This window comes from Homo sapiens, chromosome 3 (assembly GCF_000001405.40).
Source record: "Homo sapiens chromosome 3, GRCh38.p14 Primary Assembly".
Taxonomy (NCBI): Eukaryota; Metazoa; Chordata; class Mammalia; order Primates; family Hominidae; genus Homo; species Homo sapiens.
Window position 1 is genome coordinate 123,582,575 of NC_000003.12, and position 18,201 is coordinate 123,600,775.

General features: G+C 42.5%; 1 protein-coding gene and 1 long non-coding RNA gene across 10 annotated transcripts in view, besides 4 other annotated features; one reads left to right on the forward strand and one right to left on the reverse strand.

Moving 5' to 3' along the window:
- The window catches only part of HACD2 (3-hydroxyacyl-CoA dehydratase 2), a 93,500-nt gene extending 91,021 nt beyond the window's left edge, over positions 1 to 2,479 (reverse strand). For 5 of the 8 annotated variants that reach the window (NM_001329786.2, NM_198402.5, XM_047447663.1 and 2 more), the window contains exon 1: positions 2,299 to 2,479. Coding sequence is in view for 3 of the 8 variants with exons in the window: in NM_198402.5 (NP_940684.1) it covers positions 2,299 to 2,453 (155 nt within the window). In the remaining 5 variants the exon portion in view is untranslated. Of the gene's footprint in view, positions 1 to 1,827; positions 2,044 to 2,298 lie in introns of those variants that run through there. The other 3 variants (NM_001329787.2, XM_047447665.1, XM_047447664.1) reach the window with 1 other exon arrangement.
- Positions 1,804 to 1,983: a silencer, noted in NCBI's record as "silent region_14648". NCBI's record gives its function as "represses an Ori minimal core promoter by ATAC-STARR-seq in GM12878 lymphoblastoid cells {active_cell/tissue: GM12878}" and the evidence as "EXISTENCE:reporter gene assay evidence [ECO:0000049][PMID:35858748]".
- Positions 1,994 to 2,603: a silencer, noted in NCBI's record as "silent region_14649". NCBI's record gives its function as "represses an Ori minimal core promoter by ATAC-STARR-seq in GM12878 lymphoblastoid cells {active_cell/tissue: GM12878}" and the evidence as "EXISTENCE:reporter gene assay evidence [ECO:0000049][PMID:35858748]".
- Positions 2,664 to 2,963: an enhancer, noted in NCBI's record as "active region_20393". NCBI's record gives its function as "activates an Ori minimal core promoter by ATAC-STARR-seq in GM12878 lymphoblastoid cells {active_cell/tissue: GM12878}" and the evidence as "EXISTENCE:reporter gene assay evidence [ECO:0000049][PMID:35858748]".
- MYLK-AS1 (MYLK antisense RNA 1) overlaps positions 2,939 to 18,201 on the forward strand; it is a 45,309-nt gene continuing 30,046 nt past the window's right edge. Inside the window, exons 1-2 of one of the 2 annotated variants that reach the window (NR_121654.1) lie at positions 2,939 to 2,979; positions 3,073 to 3,227. This is a non-coding gene — a long non-coding RNA (MYLK antisense RNA 1). Of the gene's footprint in view, positions 3,228 to 18,201 lie in introns of both variants that reach the window. The other variant, NR_038266.2, reaches the window with a different exon arrangement.
- Positions 8,254 to 8,454: a silencer, noted in NCBI's record as "peak4801 fragment used in MPRA reporter construct". NCBI's record gives its function as "represses an SCP1 promoter by STARR-seq MPRAs in K562 erythroleukemia cells {active_cell/tissue: K562}" and the evidence as "EXISTENCE:reporter gene assay evidence [ECO:0000049][PMID:32103011]".

Below are 18,201 nucleotides of genomic sequence, written 5' to 3' on the forward strand. Positions count from 1 at the left end.
TTTTGGCAACTTTGCTATTGAGATCAAGGCCAAAAGGAAAGGAATAAGCTAAAATGGTCCTTGTGCCACTAAATCAGGTGCCAAGAAAATCTAAGACGAGAAAAAAACAGTTAAAGGAAAATTTTAAACAGCCTGTGCAGTTAAAGGGTTTTTAATAATTACAGGGTGGAAAGAAGATGCTTTAAACTATTGTTATAATTGTCTCACTGGAACAATTACCCATACCTTAAAATCTATCCTTTTAAAATTACGAATAAAGGGCTCTTGCTAAAAAAAAAAAGTTTTTTAGCCAAATTTCCTAAAATCAATGCAGAAATGAAAGCCAGATCAATACAAACCACGAAACAGGAAAGCACTTAAGCATACAGCTGTGAATGTTATATTTTTGTTCCACTGTCCTTCTCAAAAATAAACACAATGTTTTGTTAAGTTCCATAATAAAACAAATGGACCTTTTTATTAAGGTATGTCTCCTGGAAGGATTTAGATAAATGTATAGTATCAACTAGGCAATGGGGTGTGTGTGGTCTATGCTATTTCCAAAAACTATCACATAAGGACATCAAGTAAGAGTTTGTAAAAGAAGAAATTATTTAATGGTGTAACTGGTACAACCATTAACAGCCTTAAAAAAAAAGCTTACTTTGCTCTCACAATCCCAATTTATCTTCCTGGTTTAAGATACCACTCCTTACCCTCCACCCCATTCTCTATGTTCATTGCTCAGGAATAGACTTCTTTCTTCTTACCAATGTACCTCAAAATCCCTCTCCAGTCCAATGCCCTCACCGGCTCTTGCTAAGACAACAAGAATTTTATATATAAATATTAATACACACAGTGAGATTCCTGGATGTTTTTTTAAAAATCAATCTATGTGACCACTGATGTGATATAAAGCTTGTATCTGTACTAGTTCTTCATTGACCTGTGAGTCAAGAGAAATGATTTCTAGATCTGGAACTTCTACTAACAAGTTCTATGATCTCATGCAAGTCACAACTTCTCTGAGCCTAGGTTCCAACACCTACCATTTCTAATACTAGCAATACATATATGATCCTCCCACGATATATTTTCTTCTTCGTGAAAAAAAAGCAAGGTGCTGAACTGTAAAAATATTAATATATTGGCATTTGTCTTATTTTAAAAAGGGATAGGGGGATGTATAAACATATTTGCTTGCATCAGCATCTTAAGGATACACAAAATTAACTGCCTCGAGGGAGGGGAGCTGGGTAGAAGGGAAAGGTGGGAGGAAAGATTTTCACTGTATTCCCTCATGTTTTTCATTTTTAACCCTAACAATGTATCACCTACTTTAAATAAAAATGGATGTTCACTATACAATTCTTTCAACTCTTCTGTATGTTTGAAATTTTTCATAATAAAATGTTAGGACTTCTTAAAAAATTACAAATGAAGATAACTTAAAAATATATAACTGTCTGATGCTGTGATCCTCCTCACCAAAATGACAAGATAAAGAATTGCAGAGCTGAAGGAACCTTCATCACCCAGACCAACCCTTTAGTTTTACAAATGAAAAAACGGAGGCTAGAGAAATAAGATGATTTATCCAAAGTCACACAGCTAGTTAGTGGCAGAGCTTGAACTAAAAACCCGCCGGGATAAGGGATGCACTGAAATGAAAGAGACAGAAGATGGGTAAAACCGTTTCGAGGGTCCATTCTCCCCCTTTCCAGTAACTCTGCCTTCTACTCCCCAGTTTCTTCCCCACCCCAACCCATCCTAAAAGTCTAAACTCATCTAAAGCCTAGCTCTGCTCATGTCGCTGGCCAAAAACTTTGAACGCTTTCCCAATACCTTTCAGATTAAAGCGCAGCCCAGATTTTGAAAACAGCCGCCCAAATGAATGGTCACTCTGCAGCCACAGCTCCTCCACTCCCCATGCTGGCGCCGTTCAACATCCGAATCTGGCCGCCCAGGACGGGCTCCGCGCCGCAGGTAGTCCGGCCGCTGCCCCCGGCCCCGCACCTGTGGCCAGCCCCACCTTTCCTCCCGCGGCCCTCGCGAGCCAGCGCCCGGCAGCCGTCCCCGCGCCCCAGTGCCTGGGAACTTGGCTCGACCCCCAGCGCAGGAGGGAGCTCGCGGGCAGCCACCGGGGCCGATTCAGCGCTCGGCCGCCCTCAGCGCCCAGGTACCGGGTCCCGGGCACCCCCCGCCGGGAATGCACTGCCTGCGGCGGGCCGCGCCGATCCTATCCGCCCCGCCGCTGGCCGCAGGGCTCCCTCCCCGGCCGCGCTGGCTCCCCGCCTCCCCGAGCCCCAGCCTCACCCGGCTGTCATCACCACATTGTAGATGACCAGGTACGCCGTGGCCAGGGGCCCCGGGCCCTTCTTCTTCCGCGTGCCGCTGGCGTCCCCGGCCCCGGCCCTGCCACCGCCGCCCCCATTCCCCTTCGCTGCTGCAGTCGCCGCCACTGCCGCCATGTCAAGTGCCCGAAGCCCGCTCTCCTAGCGCGAGCGGCTCGGGCCGGACTACGCGAGGAGAGGGGGCGGAGGAAGGGACGAGGGGCAGGCGGGGCCAGGGCCGCGGGGCGGAGCCGGGACAGGGTCCACGGCAGCCGCCATCTTGGCTGAGGGCAAAGACGCTCCTGGCGCTCCCGTCTTTCGGCTTGCCTCAGTTGCCACTGCCATCTTGGATCAGGGTAATTCCCGCCTCTTGGGCGCTCCCGGTTACAACCTCGGCGCCATCTTGGATTAGTTCAATGTAGCCACCCTCTCCAGGCCCGCTGCTTCTGCCAGCTGGATGTTGCGTCGTCCCTCGCTATTCGCCCTCCTATAATCACTGCTTCCATGTTGAATCAAAACAATTATGCTTTCGTTCTCCCTTCTTCAATTGCCCTATCTTCACACCTGAACACTATTGCTCCGGTATCCTGCCATTTTGGATCAGGGCGGTTGACGGTGGATTCACTTCCCATCAGCCCTTGAGGCTGCAGGGACCAGCCCTTTGGTAGGTGCGCTTTGCTTCCTAACCCGTTGCCGGGTTGGAGATTCCACCTCCGAAGTTTTCTTTCTGACTTTTGATTTTACATTCCTAGTACAGTGGAGAAGCCCAGGCGGCCTAGAATCCAGTGTCGTCCGTGAGTGCTTGGCTGGTGTTCAAGTGCATCTTCCAGCCTGAGACCGCGTGGACTCGCTCATCGTGAGGGCGAGAGGAGGATAAGCCCATTGGGCTGTCGGCTGAGAGTGAGGTGCGGGGTAAGGGAGTAGATTTATAGCTATAGTGACTAAAAATAAAAGGATGTTGGCTTAGGTGGAAAACCTCTCTGCTTTGGGAAGCTGGAGCAGCTTGTGGGCATTGCTTCAACCAGCTGATCCCACTTTCCATTCATTGCTTTGTTTCAGGAGGTTCTTTATTTGTAAACGTCCCCTGCAATTTTTTACACACCCAAGCAGCTCCTTAAATGTATTACTGTATATGTGGTAGTATAAAATATTTATGGGTTCATTCCAGCAAGTGTTTATGGAGCGTCCACAAAGTTGCCCTGGAGTTCATGGCACTAAGTGAAAGAGACAAAGTCGTCAGTCTCCCAGGGATTATATAGAGCAGCGGCCCCCAACCTTTTGGTCAACAGGGACCGGTTTCGTGGTGGGGGGGTGGATGATGGTTTCAGGATGATTCAAAGGCATTACATTTATCATTAGATTCTCATAAGGAGCACACAACTTAGATCCCTCCAATGCGCAGTTCACAATAGGTTCCCCGCTCCTATGAGAATCTGATGCCACCGCTGATCTGAGGGAGGCGGAGCTCAGGAGGTAATGCTCCCTTGCTTGCTGCTCACCTCCTGCTGTGCCTCCTGGTTCCTAACAGGCCAGGGATTGGTTCTATCCGCAGCCTGGGGCTTAAGGACCCCTGAGGGAACCAGACGAAAATGCTCGTATTAGTTGGTGAAAAGTGGTATCAGGAAGTTATTACAATAATCCAGCCATGGTGATAGTGGTGTGGGCCAGAGTGGTGGAAATCGAGGTGATGAAAACAACAATGAATTCTGTGCGTATTTTAGAAGTAGAATTATAAGATTTGTGGATATGTTAGTTTTGGAGTGTGAGGTCAAAGGCGTTTTGAGCAACTTGTAAGAAACCATTTTTAAGGCGGAAGTCGGGAATTTTGTTTTTTATATGTTGAATTTGAAATCCTTATTAAACATCCAAGTGGAGAGGCTGGATAGACAATTAAATTTAGACCCTGAGGTTCGGGAAGGAAGTCCAATGGGCTAGAGATATAAATTTGAGAGTTGTCAACCTAAAATAATAAAAAAGGTAAGAATCTAGTTTAAAGGAAGTTTATTCAAGCATAAAGGTTGAAGATGGCTACCTGGGAGCATAGATTCAAGTTACCCTAAATATACACTCTGATTAGCAGCGGTTATGAGTGGGTTTTTAAAGGAAAAAGAGGCAGCTTCTAAGTTGTTTACTAAGAATTTACATTAAAATTACATTAGCTATTGATTGGCTATAAACTATTCTTTGTATCACAGATTCCAGGAACATGAAGATAATGGGTGAGGCTGCTAGTCAGGAACAAAATGTCTAAACAGTTGCCCCCAGGCAAACTCTTGTCTCTGGGCCTGATAAATTTTTGCATACTTCACATAGCTCAGACAGCTCAGAGCTGTTTGAGGTATTATCTTTTCTCAGAGTTCTGAGGGTGGTGGTGGTATTTAAATCCATGACACTGTAATCACCCAATACGTTCTTCCTTCCCACTGCACAGACAAAATCAATTCATAGAGACCATGGCATTGCAATAAAGAATTTAATTGACATGAGATAGGTCTTGGAGATGGAGTTATTACTCCAAATCTCCCCCAAAATTCAGAGGGTAGGGTTTTTCAAGAATAGTTTGGCTAAGATCTGAGAGCTATAGTCAAAACAAAACAAAACAAAACACCCACCCCCCCCCCAACACACACACAGTTTGGCAGGCAGGAGGCTGGAGGAATGGGTGCTGCTGATTGGTTGGGAATGCAATTATAGGGGTGTGGAAAATGGTCCCCCTGCACTGAGCCTGCTTCTGGGTGGAGGCCACAGGACTGGTTGAGCCAAGAGTCAAAGGTCTCAGTGGGGTCGTCAGCCATCCGAAATGCAGAAGCCTGAAAGTTTATCTCAAAAGGCCAATCTTAGGTTCTACAGTAGTGAACTGGGGAAGCTGCAAATCTAGTGACCTCTGGAATAGTGGCTGGTAATCATTTAACTTAACAAAGCCTATGTCTTAGCAGAATTCAAGCTCCTCTTATCCTTCTAACCTGGTGGCTTTTCATTAGTTTTACAAAAGTGGTTTAGTTTTGGGGAGGGGCTATTATCGCTTAAACTGTAAACTAAGTTTCTCCCAAAGTTAGCTTGGTGCAAGCCCAGGAATGACCAAGGGCAGTTTTGGAGGTTAAAGATGAGAAAGGAAAACCCCAGATTCACTGAGCCAAAGGGAAAAGTCAAGCTGGGAACTGGGTCACACAAACCTGCCTCCCATTTGGTTCCTAAATAAGATAGCTACAAAGATAAAAGCTATATACTTCCCTCACATTTTACCCACAAGGAAATTCCTTTTAGGCCCAAAGATCTTTACTCTAAAACAGTTCTGTTGAATTTCAACCTGGCAATGTAAGTTGATATCTTCACAGGTATGGGACATAGGACAGAATTCAAAGTCTTCCCTCTCCTCACCTGAGACAAATGCATATCTGATTGCTTCCTCTGCCCTATTGTCTACGTTATCTTATGTAAAAATACAGATTAACTGAGCCAGACTAAGGCATGAATATTTCCTCCACTCCCCACTCACATGAAAATTGTGTATTCAAAAGGATGCAACTGTTTTATCTTTTTATCTACTGACACAATTTAAAAATATTTCTTGGCTGGGCGTGGTGGCTCACGCCTGTAATCCCAGCACTTTGGGAGGCCAGGCAGGCAGATCAGGAGGTCAGGAGTTTGAGACCAGCCTGGCCAGTATGGTGAAACCCCATCTTTACTAAAAATACAAAAATTAGCTGGGTGTGGTGGTGCGCGCCTGTAGTCCCAGCTACTTGGGAGACTGAGGCAAGAGAATCGCTTGGAGTTGGAGGTTGCAGTGAGCCGAGATTGCGCCGCTGCACTCCAGCCTGGTGACAGAGCGAGACTCTGTCTCAAAAAAAAAAAAAAATTTCTCTTCCCCCAGTATCCACCCTTTCCCCTTTAAGTACTGAAGCCCTCAAAATCATCTTTGGAGATAGGCATATACCTGCCTCCCTGGCATGCATCCTTTACTATGGCAAATAAACCTCCTAAAATGATTGAGACTTGCCTTGATCGTGTTCTTTGATTTACAGAGTCAAGGTGGGGGCTGGTTAGATCAGATCTCTCTCAGTCATAATTTTCTCACTGTTACAATTTTTGCAAAAGAAGTTTCAAGACCTCAAGAGATGAAGTGAGAGGCATAAGTTGACAATTGTCAGGGTCCCATCCTTTCCCGCCATGGCAGATTGTTCAGAGATTCTGTTGCCTTGTTTTCCTGAAATTTTTTTTTTTTGGAGACGAAGTCTTGCTCTTGTCCCCCAGACTGGAGTGCAATGGCACACTCTTGGCTCACTGCAACCTCCGCCTCCCAGGTTCAAGCAATTCTCCTGCCTCAGCCTTCCAAGTAGCTGGGATTACAGGTGCCTGCCCCCACGCCCAGCTAATTTTTGTATGTTTAGTAGAGACGGGATTTTGCCATGTTGGCCAGGCTGGTTTCGAACTCGTGACCTCAGGTGATCCACCTGCCTCGGCCTCCCAAAATGCTGGGATTATAGGCATGAACCACCACACCCGACCTTCCTGAATTTTTCAAAGAGCAAGTTGGTGAGCCCAAATTGCACACTGTGATCAGAGGGCAAAAAAATTTCTTTGCAAAAGAAATAAAGAAGTGAACCATTTTACAAAACCAAATAATCATTCATCTAAAAGCTTCTTTCATTCATTTGACTGATTTTTTTTTCAATATAATCTACTTAATGGGAAAGTAGGAGGAGGCAGGAATGCATAAAGTTCTGTTCAGTTGGAAATCAGTTTAAAACTCAATGTATCTTCTTGCAGTCACTTAGGCCCAACTCCAGTCTGTTGTTTATAGCAGCAATCTCCAACCTTTTTGGCACCAGGGACTGGTTTCATGGAAGACAATTTTTCCATGGACTGGGGAGGGAATGGTTTCAGGATGAAACTGTTTCACTTCAGATCAGCAGGCATTAGATGGAGCCTGCAACCTAGATCCCTCGCCTGCATGGTTCATGATAGGGCTCGTGTTCCTATGAGAATCTAATGCCGCTGTTGGTCTGGCAGGAGGTGGAGATCAGGTGGTAATGCTCACTTGCCTGCTGCTCACCTCCTGCTGTGTGGCTGGGTTCCTAACAGGCCATGGACCTGTACCAGTCTGTGGCCCAGAGGTTGGGGACCCCTGCTCTACAGTACAGCCAAAGTGATCTTTTCCACATACAACCTTGTTCGTGTCTACTACCTTCCTCTGCCCCACCCCTGAAGATATTTAAATGGCTTTTGATGACACTTAGGATAAAGCATAAAATATTTAATATGGTATACAAAAATCTGCATAGACTAGACCCTACCTGCCTCCTCAGTCTCACCATGCCCCTCCTAGTCATACTGGCCTCATCTTAGGTCTTCCATCGAGCAGTACTCCTTTTTTGCCTCAGGGAATTTGCACATGCTATTCCAATCATACCTTCCCAACAGTACCCCAAAGTCTTAACTCATTTCAGCATTAACTCAAAAGTCCAAGTTCAAAGTCTGATCTGAGACAAGGCAAGTCTCTTTCACCTACAAGCCTGTAAAATCAAAAACAAGTTAGTTACTTCCAAGATACAATGGGGGTACAGGCATTGGGTAAATGTTCTCATTCCACATGGGAGAAATTGGCCAAAACAAAGGGGCCACAGGCCCCATGCAAGTCTGAAACCTGGTTGGGCAGTCATTAAATATTAAACCTCTTAAATACTCTCCTTTGACTCCATGTCTCACATCCAGTGCATGCTGATTGAAGAGGTGAGCTCCTAAGGCTTTGGGCAGCTCTTGCCATGTGGCTCTGCAGGGTACAGTCCCAAAGGCTGCTTTCATGGGCTGGAGTTGAGTGCCTGAAGCTTTTCCAGGTCCAGGGTGCAAGCTGTTGGTGGATCTACCATTCTGGGGTCTGGAGGACAGTGGCCCTATTCTCAGATCCACTAGGTATTGCCCCAGTGGGGACTCTGTGTGGATGCTCCAACCCCACATTTCCCTTTTGCACTGCACTAGTAGGGGTTCTCCATGAGGGCTCCGCCCATGCAGCAGACTTCTGACTGGACATCCAGTCATTTCCATACATCCTCTGAAATCTAGGCATAGGTTTCTAAACCTCAACTCTTGGCTTCTGCACACTTGCAGGCCCAACACCACATAAAAGCTGCCAGGGCTTGGGGCTTGTACCCTCTGAAGCAATGGCCCAAGCTGTACCTTGGCCCCTTTTAGCCATGAGGTGGAGTGGCTGGGACACAGGGCACCATGTCTTGAGGCTGCACACAGCAGTAGAGCCCTGGGCCTGCCTAGCCCAGGAAACTATTTTTCCCTCCTAGGCCTCTAGGTCTGTGATGGGAGGGGCTGTCCTGAAGATCTCTGAAATTCCCTGGAGACATTTTTCCCCATTGTCTCAGCTATTAACATTCAGCTCCTTGTTACTTGTGCAAATTCCTGCAGCCTGCTTGAATATCTCCCTGGAAAATGGGTCTTTGTTTTCTACTGCATGGTCAGGCTGCAAATTTTCCAAACTTTTATGCTCTGCTTCCCTTTTAAACATAAGTTCCAATTTCAGATCATCTCCTTGTGAACGCATGTGACCGTTTGCTTTCAGAAAAAGCCATGTGACATCTTGAATGCTTTGGTGCTTCGAAGTTTATTCTACCAGATACCCTAAATCATCTGTCTCAAGTTTAAAGTTCCACAGATCTCTAAGGCAGGGGCAAAATGCTGTCAGTCTCTTTGCTAAAGCATAGCAAGAGTGACCTTTGCTCCAGTTCCCAATAAGTTCTTCGTCTCCATCTAAGACCATCTCAGCCTGGACTTCATTGTCCATATCACTATCAGCATTTTGGTCAAAATCATTCAACAATTCTCTAGGAAGTTCCCAACTTTCCCACATCTTCCCCATGTCTTCTTCTGAGCCCTCCAAACTGTTCTGACCTCTGCTGTTACCCAGTTCCACACTTGCTTCAACATATTGAGGTATCTTTATAGCAGTGCCCCACTCCCAGTACCAATCTTCTGTATTAGTCCATTTTCACACTTCGATAAAGAACTACCTGAGACTGGGTAATTTATAAAGAAAAGATGTTTAATTGACTCACAGTTCTGCATAGCTTGGGAGGCCTCAGGAAATTTACAATCATGGTTGATACAATTACGCTGTGTTTCCACCCACATCTCATCTTGAATTTTAGTTCCCATAATCCCCATGTGTTGTAGGAGGGACCCAGTGGGAGGTAATTGAATCGTGGATGCGGTTACCTCTATGCTGTTCTTGGGATAGTGAGTGAGACTCACAAGCTCTGATGGTTTTATAAGCATCTGGCACTTCCCCTGCTGCCATGTGAAGAAGGATATGTTGGCTTCCCTTTCCACCATGATTGTAAGTTTCCTGAGGCCTCCCCAGCCATGCAGAACTGTGTCAACTAAACCTCTTTCCTTTATAAATTACCTAGTCTCAGATATTTCTTCATAGCAGTGTGAGAAGGGACTAATACAATGGTGGACAGCAAAGGAGAAGCAAGCACCTTCTCCACAAGGCAGCAGGAGAGAGAGAGAGAGAGCAAAGAAGGAACTGCCAAACACTTATAAACATCAGACCTCGTGAGAACTCACTATCACTAGAACAGCATGAGGGAAACCATCCCCATGATCCAATCACCTCCCACCAGTCCCTCCCTCAACACGTGATGATTACAATTTGAGATGAGATTTGGTTGGAGACACACAGCTAAACCGTATCACTCCTTTTTTGCATTTATAATTTTTAAAATATCACTTATTCTTCCCCCTCTACTTACTGGAATTTGTACATCTTGCTTCTCTTCTTTTACTGGTTACCATAGAAATTACAGCATGGATCATTAACTCATTAAAGTCTAATATTAATCAGTACTTTATCATCTTCCTAAACAATACATAAACCTTTCAAATCTGTCTGGTCATTTTTAATAATCCCTTGTTCCTTGCCTATATGAATTTTTATGAATATATAATACCATGTATCTGTCATGGCACATTGTACATAATAGTTTCACTGCCCTAAAAATCTGTGCTTTACCTATTCATCCCAAACCAGCCTCCTCCCACACCCATAGTAACCATTGATTTTTTTACTGTCTCTACAGTCTTGCTTTTTCCAGAATGTCATATAGTTGGAATTATACAGGATGTTGCCTTTCTGTTGTTTTTTTTTTTTTTTCACTTAGCAACATGCACTTAAGGTTTGTCTGTGTCTTTTCATGGCTTGACAGCTCACTTCTTTTAATCACTGAATAATATCCCATTGTCTGGATGTACCTTCTTTTTTTTTTAACCTATTCACCAATCGAAGGACATCTTGGTTGCTTCCAAATTTTGGCACTTATGAATAAAGTTCATATGAACATTCATGTGCAGGTTTTTATGTGGACATAAATTATGTTTTTTATTTCATCTTTTATTTTCTTGAATATTTTATACAGGCTTATTTTATTTTCCCTATATGATAATTCCAATATTTGAAGTTTCTGGGGGACTAAATCATTTTTTTTTTGTTGTTGTTTTTGTTCACTGACTCATGGTGGCTTAATCTCCCTGTAATTTTTTATTGTGAGTTTATTTTATTGAATTTAAATCAATGGAAATTCCAAGGGCCTACATTTGGGATGCTTTCCTTCAGAAGGACTTTTATATACCTCTGCTAAAAGCCAGATGGCATCCGGACCACTTTAGTGTGCGCTTCAAGGATCCTGGAGCTTCAGCTTCCTCATGTTGCCATGGTTCCAGGTTTAGCTTCTGATTCACAGAACTGGTGTTGGCATTTGCAACATAGTGAAAACTCCCATATCTAATTTTTTAAAAAACAGAAATTAATGCAGAAGAATATTACTTCAAAGGTATAGAATTTTAAAACTATCAATATCACCAACCATAAATGAGAAGATTCGTACATTTGACTATATTAAAATAAAGAACTTTTGTTTGCCAAAAGATAGCATGAAATAAGCAAAAAAGCAAGGTACAGAGTACAAGATATTTGCCACATGTATAATTGATAAAGAATAGCCTCCAGGATATATGAAAACTCTTTCAAATCAATAATAGACAATCACATTGAAAAAAAATGAGCAAAGACTTGAACAGAAGAAAATATAAATGGTCAATAAACATGCAAATATGCTCACTCTCATTATTAATTAGGGAAATGCAAGTATAACAACAGTGAGATACCATTAACTATCCTCTAGATTGGCTAAAATTCAACAGTTTGATAACACCAATTGTTGGCAAGGATGTGATGCGGCAGGAACTCTTCAGACTGCTGTTGATTAATTGGTGTGTTCAGTTTGGGAAACAATTTGGCATTATCTAGTAAAGTTGAAGATACATATATCCCGTGATGGCTATTCTACTGCCAGGTCGATGATCTTAAAGATCTCCTAGGATACATGCATCAGGATATTCAAAGCAGCATTGTTCATCATACCCCACACTGAATACAACAAAACGTCTATCCACAGTAAAATAAATAAATACATCATGGTACATTCCTATGATGGGATACATTACAGCAATGCAAATGAACAAATTGCAGTTCTACTCAACAACATGGATGAATCTCATAAACAAAATATTGAATGACAGAAGTAAGGCACAAAAGAATATACACAGTATGATCCATTCATCTAAAGTTCAAAATGAGGCCAAATGAAATGATGTTGTTTAGGGATACAGACACAGGTGGTAAAACTGTATAGAAAAGCCAAGAAAATGATTATCACAAAAGTCAGGATAGTGGATACCTCTGATGAAGAGAGAGGAGTTTATGACCAAGAGGAGACAAAGAGCAGGGACTGGGAGAGGGTATGAGGAGGGGTTCTGGGAGTAGGAAATGTTTCATTTCCTCACATTGGTATGGTTCTGTAGGTTTTCCTTTCATGATGTTTCATCAACGTGTATATTTATGTCAGTTATATTTCATAATTGTTTTAAACAAAGGAATGATCAGCACAAGGAGTGGCAGAGGTATGACATCCAGGAAAAGTGCACGGGTAGCTTCACCATTGTTGGTAATGTTCTTAAGTTAGGTGTGGATTCATGAGTGTTCATTTTTATGCTCATAACTTACATATAGTTTATATGTTAGATACATCTTATACGTTAAATATGCATAAGAAATTTATAATAAATTAAAAGCAGAGAGGAATCCTGATAGTAGGAAATAGGATGGTTTGCACCAGGATTGTCATCTAGGAAGCTATCGTATAGTTAATCTGGACATAATAAGAATGTTAGAGACTGGAGTCACTGCCATCTCTTTCAGGGAAGAGATTGACAGACAGGGGCCATATTTTCTACCATATTATTCTCATTCCCCTGACTACATACATAGATGCCAAGACTATAAAGCAAAATCATGAAATGTTTATCACAAAAGTCAGGATAGTGGATACTTCTGAACTGGAGGTGGGCACCCCTCTTTCTTATCTTTTTGTCTTCATAGAAAAGGTACAAAAAGACATATGTACTAACCAAATTTCGAGGTTCCTAAATAATGGAGACTAACTCTCGGTTAGTTAGAGAGAAAATGAATTTATTGAAAGGACATTACATAGCTCACAAAATTGATGGAAAAGCTGAAGAATGAGGCTTGGAACTTGGAAAGGAGCCATGGGAAATTAGGCAGCCCGAAATAGAGACCAAATCAATACACAGGAAGCATCTGGTTAGTATCCAACTGCGTCTGTCATTGGCACAACCACCATCAGACGTTGGACAGTACCCTTATTGCTTCCTCTTCCACCTCTGGAAAGATTCTAAGTGCCATTTGCTTCTTTCTGTTACTCCAGAATCAAGGTCTTAGGTAGGAGTGTCTGATTGGAAGGTCCTGTGCCCAAATTCTAGAGACAAGGGATCTGGAAAAGGGGCTATTTGTCCATACTTAAGCTTCTTTATTGGATTTTTTTCCAAATAGGAAGTGTTAGATACTAGGAGGCCAAAAATGAAAAACTCCTATCACAAGGAATATTAGAAATAAACATATCTGGCTTCTGCCTATTCACAGCGAGGAGAAAAGATTAATAGGATCAGTTAAGATCTGTGAAATTCACAGGGCCATGCTTTTACTTGGAGACAAGGGATTCTGCACAGTCACTGAACTGAAAGGCAGCCAGGCTTTCTCTTCCTTCTGCTTTGCAGTGCACCACTCTTTCTCTTTTCTAGTTTTTCTGCCTGTGATTGGCAGTGGGAACTGGGGTGGAATTCTGATCAGTCCTGCCAGGCCAGGAAGCTATCTTCAATTCAGGAAGGTGAGATGTGACCCTGCTGCTGTCTCCAAACTGGCCAGCATCAGAGAACTCTTCAAGGGTATGTTTTTGGGTGCCTGACCAACCACGAAGACAACTGACATTTGGGCCGGGCATGGTGTAATCCTAGCACTTTGGGAGGCCAAGGCAGGAGGATCACATGAGCTCAGAAGTTTGAGGCCAGCCTGGGCAACATAGTAAGACTTTGCCTCTACAAAACATAGAAATATTAGCTGGATGTAGTGGTGCATGTCTATAGTCCCAGCTACTTGAGAGGCTGAGGCAGGAGGATGGCTTGAGCTGGGGAGATTGAAGTTGCAGTGGATGGTGATAGCACCACAGCACTCCAACCTGGGCAGGCAACAGAGCAAGATCCCATCTCAAAAAAAAAAAAAGACAGCTGACATTTGGATTCTTGTTTGGCTGGTGATCTAGTTTTTCTGTCATGCAAAACCCTGGAGGAAAAGAGGGATGGGTGATAGGAATCAGACTCTAAATTCCACCCTAAACTTCCAGTTAGCGGTGCCTTAGACTGGCTGGTGATACAACCTAATATGAAATGGCTATATCAGATTCATCTCTTTGAGAATCTGAACTTGGAAGAACTGAGCCCTCAGCAGATGTGGGGAGAGAAGAGACACATGTGAGAGGCTGTGTGATAGTTGCCTTAGTATTTGATGATGCTGTGATCAGCTGCAGGCCATAGTCTCCCTACAAATAGTTAATGAACACACTAATGAAGTTCAATCACGTTTATGAATAAACACTGATTAAAACAATGAGATAGATGTCTTCTTCTTTTTCTTTTCTTACTCAAAATGTCAGTAACCCTGTTGGCAGGCGTATAAGAACAGTTGTGCTCTTACACTTTGCTATTGAAAGTATAAATTGATAGACTTTCTGGAAGACAGCTTGGAAATACATAAATATATACTGAAACTTTAAAATTATGCGTGTCCTTTGACCCAACAATTACACTTCTTGGAACTTTTTTATTTTTATCTGTTTTAGAGATAGGATATTGCTCTATTGCCCAAGTTGGCTTCAAACTCCTGGGCTCAAGTGATTCTCTCACCTCAGCCTTCCGATAACTGGGACTACAGGCACACGCCACTGCACCCAGCCATTGGAATTTATCCTAAAGAAAGAATTTAGGATGTGAAAAAAGATTTAGTTATAAAAGTTCATTCATCACAATGCTATTTACAATAAGAATATTTCCAAACTGTTGGAAACAATCTAAATGTCCAGCAGTATAGACTGACTAAATTATGATGGAAGCTTAAAATAGTATATTCAGCCATTAAAAATGGTTTTGCAGAAACTTACTTTTAAATGAGGCTTCTGAGTCAAAAACAAAAACAATTAATCATTTGTAGCAAAAGCAGCAGCCCAAGCAACATCCTATGTTGGTTTCCAAGGGTCATCATGAGGGCGAGATGGTACCTGCACATGCAGCGGGGTGCATTACAGGACAGGAGCCCTGTAAAAATTAGGAAACTCTGATCTTCTATATAACTGCCAGAGACCTGCCCATCATCCTCTCCAGAGAGAGAGAAACCTTAGTTTACTCTGGAATGTAAGCAAGTCTTGTCCAGGAAGGGAGGAAGAAGAGTTCTTTATCTTTACTATCCTGGACCATCTCCAGGGAGGTAAACATGTCTACGCTTTACTATCCTGAGATGTCTCCTTATATAAGTATTCTTGAATTGTTTGCAATTGCCTTCGATCAGAGGACCTGAGCCATGCAGAAAAGTGAGATGTTCAGGGTAAATCTTCTTCTAACATTGACTGTATGTGAAGGGCATTAGATGCAACTGTCAATTTTTTTTCTCAGTTTGAAAAAGTTTTTATTTTTTATTTCCCATTTCTTAGAGACAGGGTCTTTCTCTGTTGCCCAGGTTAGAGTACAGTGGCATGATCACAGCTCACTGCAGCCTCGAATGCCTGGGCTCAAGCCTCAGCCTCTCAAAGTGCTGGGATTATAGGCATGAGCCACCATGCCTGGTTTTGAAAAAGTTTTAAGAGAAAGTTTGGGAAAATAATATTGCATAAATGTATTTGACATGGACGTTGTTTAGAATATGCTAAGTAAAAAAGTGGATTATACATGGCATGTAGTAAGATCCCATTTTTTAACAATTAGGTATAGGTGTTTGTCTATGGAGAAAAAAATCTGGAGGGGGTATACCAATATATTAATAATGTTTATTTTTGGGTGAGAGACAGCATCATTTGTTTTCAAATGTTCTTTCTGTTTATATGTGTTTTGCTTTTTCTCCAATGAATGTAGTAGTTTTTGTGATTAAAATTTCTTTTTCTTTTCTTTTCTTTTTCTTTTTTTTTTGACAGGATCTCACTCTGTTGCCCAGGCTGGAGTACAGTAGTGCAATCATAGCTCACTGCAGCCTTGAACTCCCAGGCTAAAGCAATCCTTCTGCCTCAGCCTCCTGAGTAGCTGGGACTACAGGTGCATACCACCACATCTGGCTAATTTTTAAATTTTTTGTAGAGACAGAGTCTCCGTATGTTGCCCAGCTGGTCTTGAACTCCTGGGCTCAAGTGATCCTCCTTCCTTGGCCTCCCAAAGTGTTGGGATTACAGGCATGAGCCACTGCACCTGGACTTAAATTTTTTCTTTGTATCAGAAACTATAATTCCTCTTTTTCTTTCTGTCTTCTATTGAGGGTAGATATCAGTAATATGGGTTTTTTGTTTTTTGTTTTTTATTTTTGCTAGTTTAGCTAAATCTTGGATAAAATTAAACTTTCCTATATGAGGGAAGAGAAAAAGGTAAGAGGAAAATAGCAATACTAAGAGAAAGGATGGAGGCCGGGCAAGGTGGCTCACACTTGTAGTGTCAGCACTTTGGGAGGCTGAGACCTGTGGGCTGCTTGAGCCCAAGAATTTGAGACTAGCCTAGGCAACATGGTGAAACCCCATCTTTACAAAAAATACAAAAATTCGCCAGGTGTGGTGGTGGGCACCTGTAGTACCAGCTACTCAGGGGACTGAGGTAGGAGGATAGCTTGAGCCCAGGAGGTCGAGGCTGCAGTGAGCCTTGAGTGGGCCACTGTACTCCACTGCACCAGACAAAACCAGAGAGAGCATGGGGGAAAAGTAAAAACAGGGAAACTTGGGAGAAGAGGCAGGTCTTGCGGGGGTTTGAAGTGAAATGCTGATTGATATAAACTCCTTTATCCACAACCCTTACAAAGTCAGTAAATTCTTTGATGTTTTCATATGAGTGGAATTTTTAGTGGGAAGCTCAGAGAAAAGGAAGAGGAGACAATAGTAATATAGGTTGCATTTTGGGTGTTGTATAGGAGCTTCAAAGGAATGTGCTTAGCTATATTTAGAATAAATGATCACCTAGAATAGTGGTTCTCAAACTCTTAAAAGTTATTGAAGATCCTAAAGAACTTTTTCTAATGTGGCTTATAACTATGTATTATTTACCATATTAGAAATTAGAACTAAGAAATGTAAAATCACAAGAAAATATAAACCCTCACAATGATGACTTCGTTACGCATCAGGTAGACTCTGGAAAACTCCCTTCTACATTTGTTGGTGAAAGAGGGTGAAAAAGACAAATAACAAGTTAGCATTATTATTAAAGTAGTATTGACTTCATGTTCTCCCTGAAATGGTCTTGGAGTTCCAAACCAAACTTTGAGAACCACTGACCTAGACAATTAATATTTTGTGAGGTAGGATATTGACTTCTACTTCTGCCCCATTTTCTCTTTTCTCTCTAGTGTTCTGTTGTTTATATATTGGACCTCTTCTGATTCTTTTATCTTTTCTCTTCTGTTGTTCATTGTCATCTTCTTGTTTTTCTTCCCTTCCCCCCCCACTCTTCCTCCTCCTTCTTATTTTTTCTTCTTCCTTTTTCTTCTTTCTTCCTCCTCTTCTCCTTCCTCCTCCTCCCCTTCCTAATCTTCCTCTTCCTCCTTCTCCTCCTCCTCCTCGTCCTTCTCCTCTTCCTTTTTTTCTGAGACAGGGTCTTACTCTGTCACCCAGGCTGGAGTGCAGTGGTACAACCACAGTTCACTGTAACCTTGACCTCCTGGGCTCAAGTGATCCTCCTACTTCAGCCTCCCAAGTGGTTGGAACTACAGGCACACACCACCACACCTGTCTAATTTTTTTTAAATTTTTTGTAGAGATGGGGTTTCATTATGTTACCCAGGCTGGTCTTGAAATCTTGGGCTCAGTTGATCCGCCTGCCTCAGCCTCCCAAAGTGCTGAGATTACAGCTGTCAGCCACTGTGTCTGGCCTCTTTTTTTATTTCTTCCTGGGAGATTTCTATAATTATGTTTTCCAACCTAATTCTTTGAATGCTGCTTTAATTTTTCATTTTTATTTTTTGTATATAGCATCCTGTTTGGTTTTGGGTATACTATTTTCTTAAATTTCTTTGAGGATATGAATTATTGTTTTCCTTTCCTCCCTATATGATCTCTATTTCTTCCAAGTTCTTTTTAATGCTCGTTGTCCTCTTTGTCTTTTGTGTTAGAAAATTTTCCTCAAATATCTGATGTTATTTAGTTGTTTGCCTGTATTTAAGAGTGAAGCACTAAAAACTGAAACTGTGTGACTAGCTGGGGCCTGTTTACTGTGGGCCTTGCTGTAG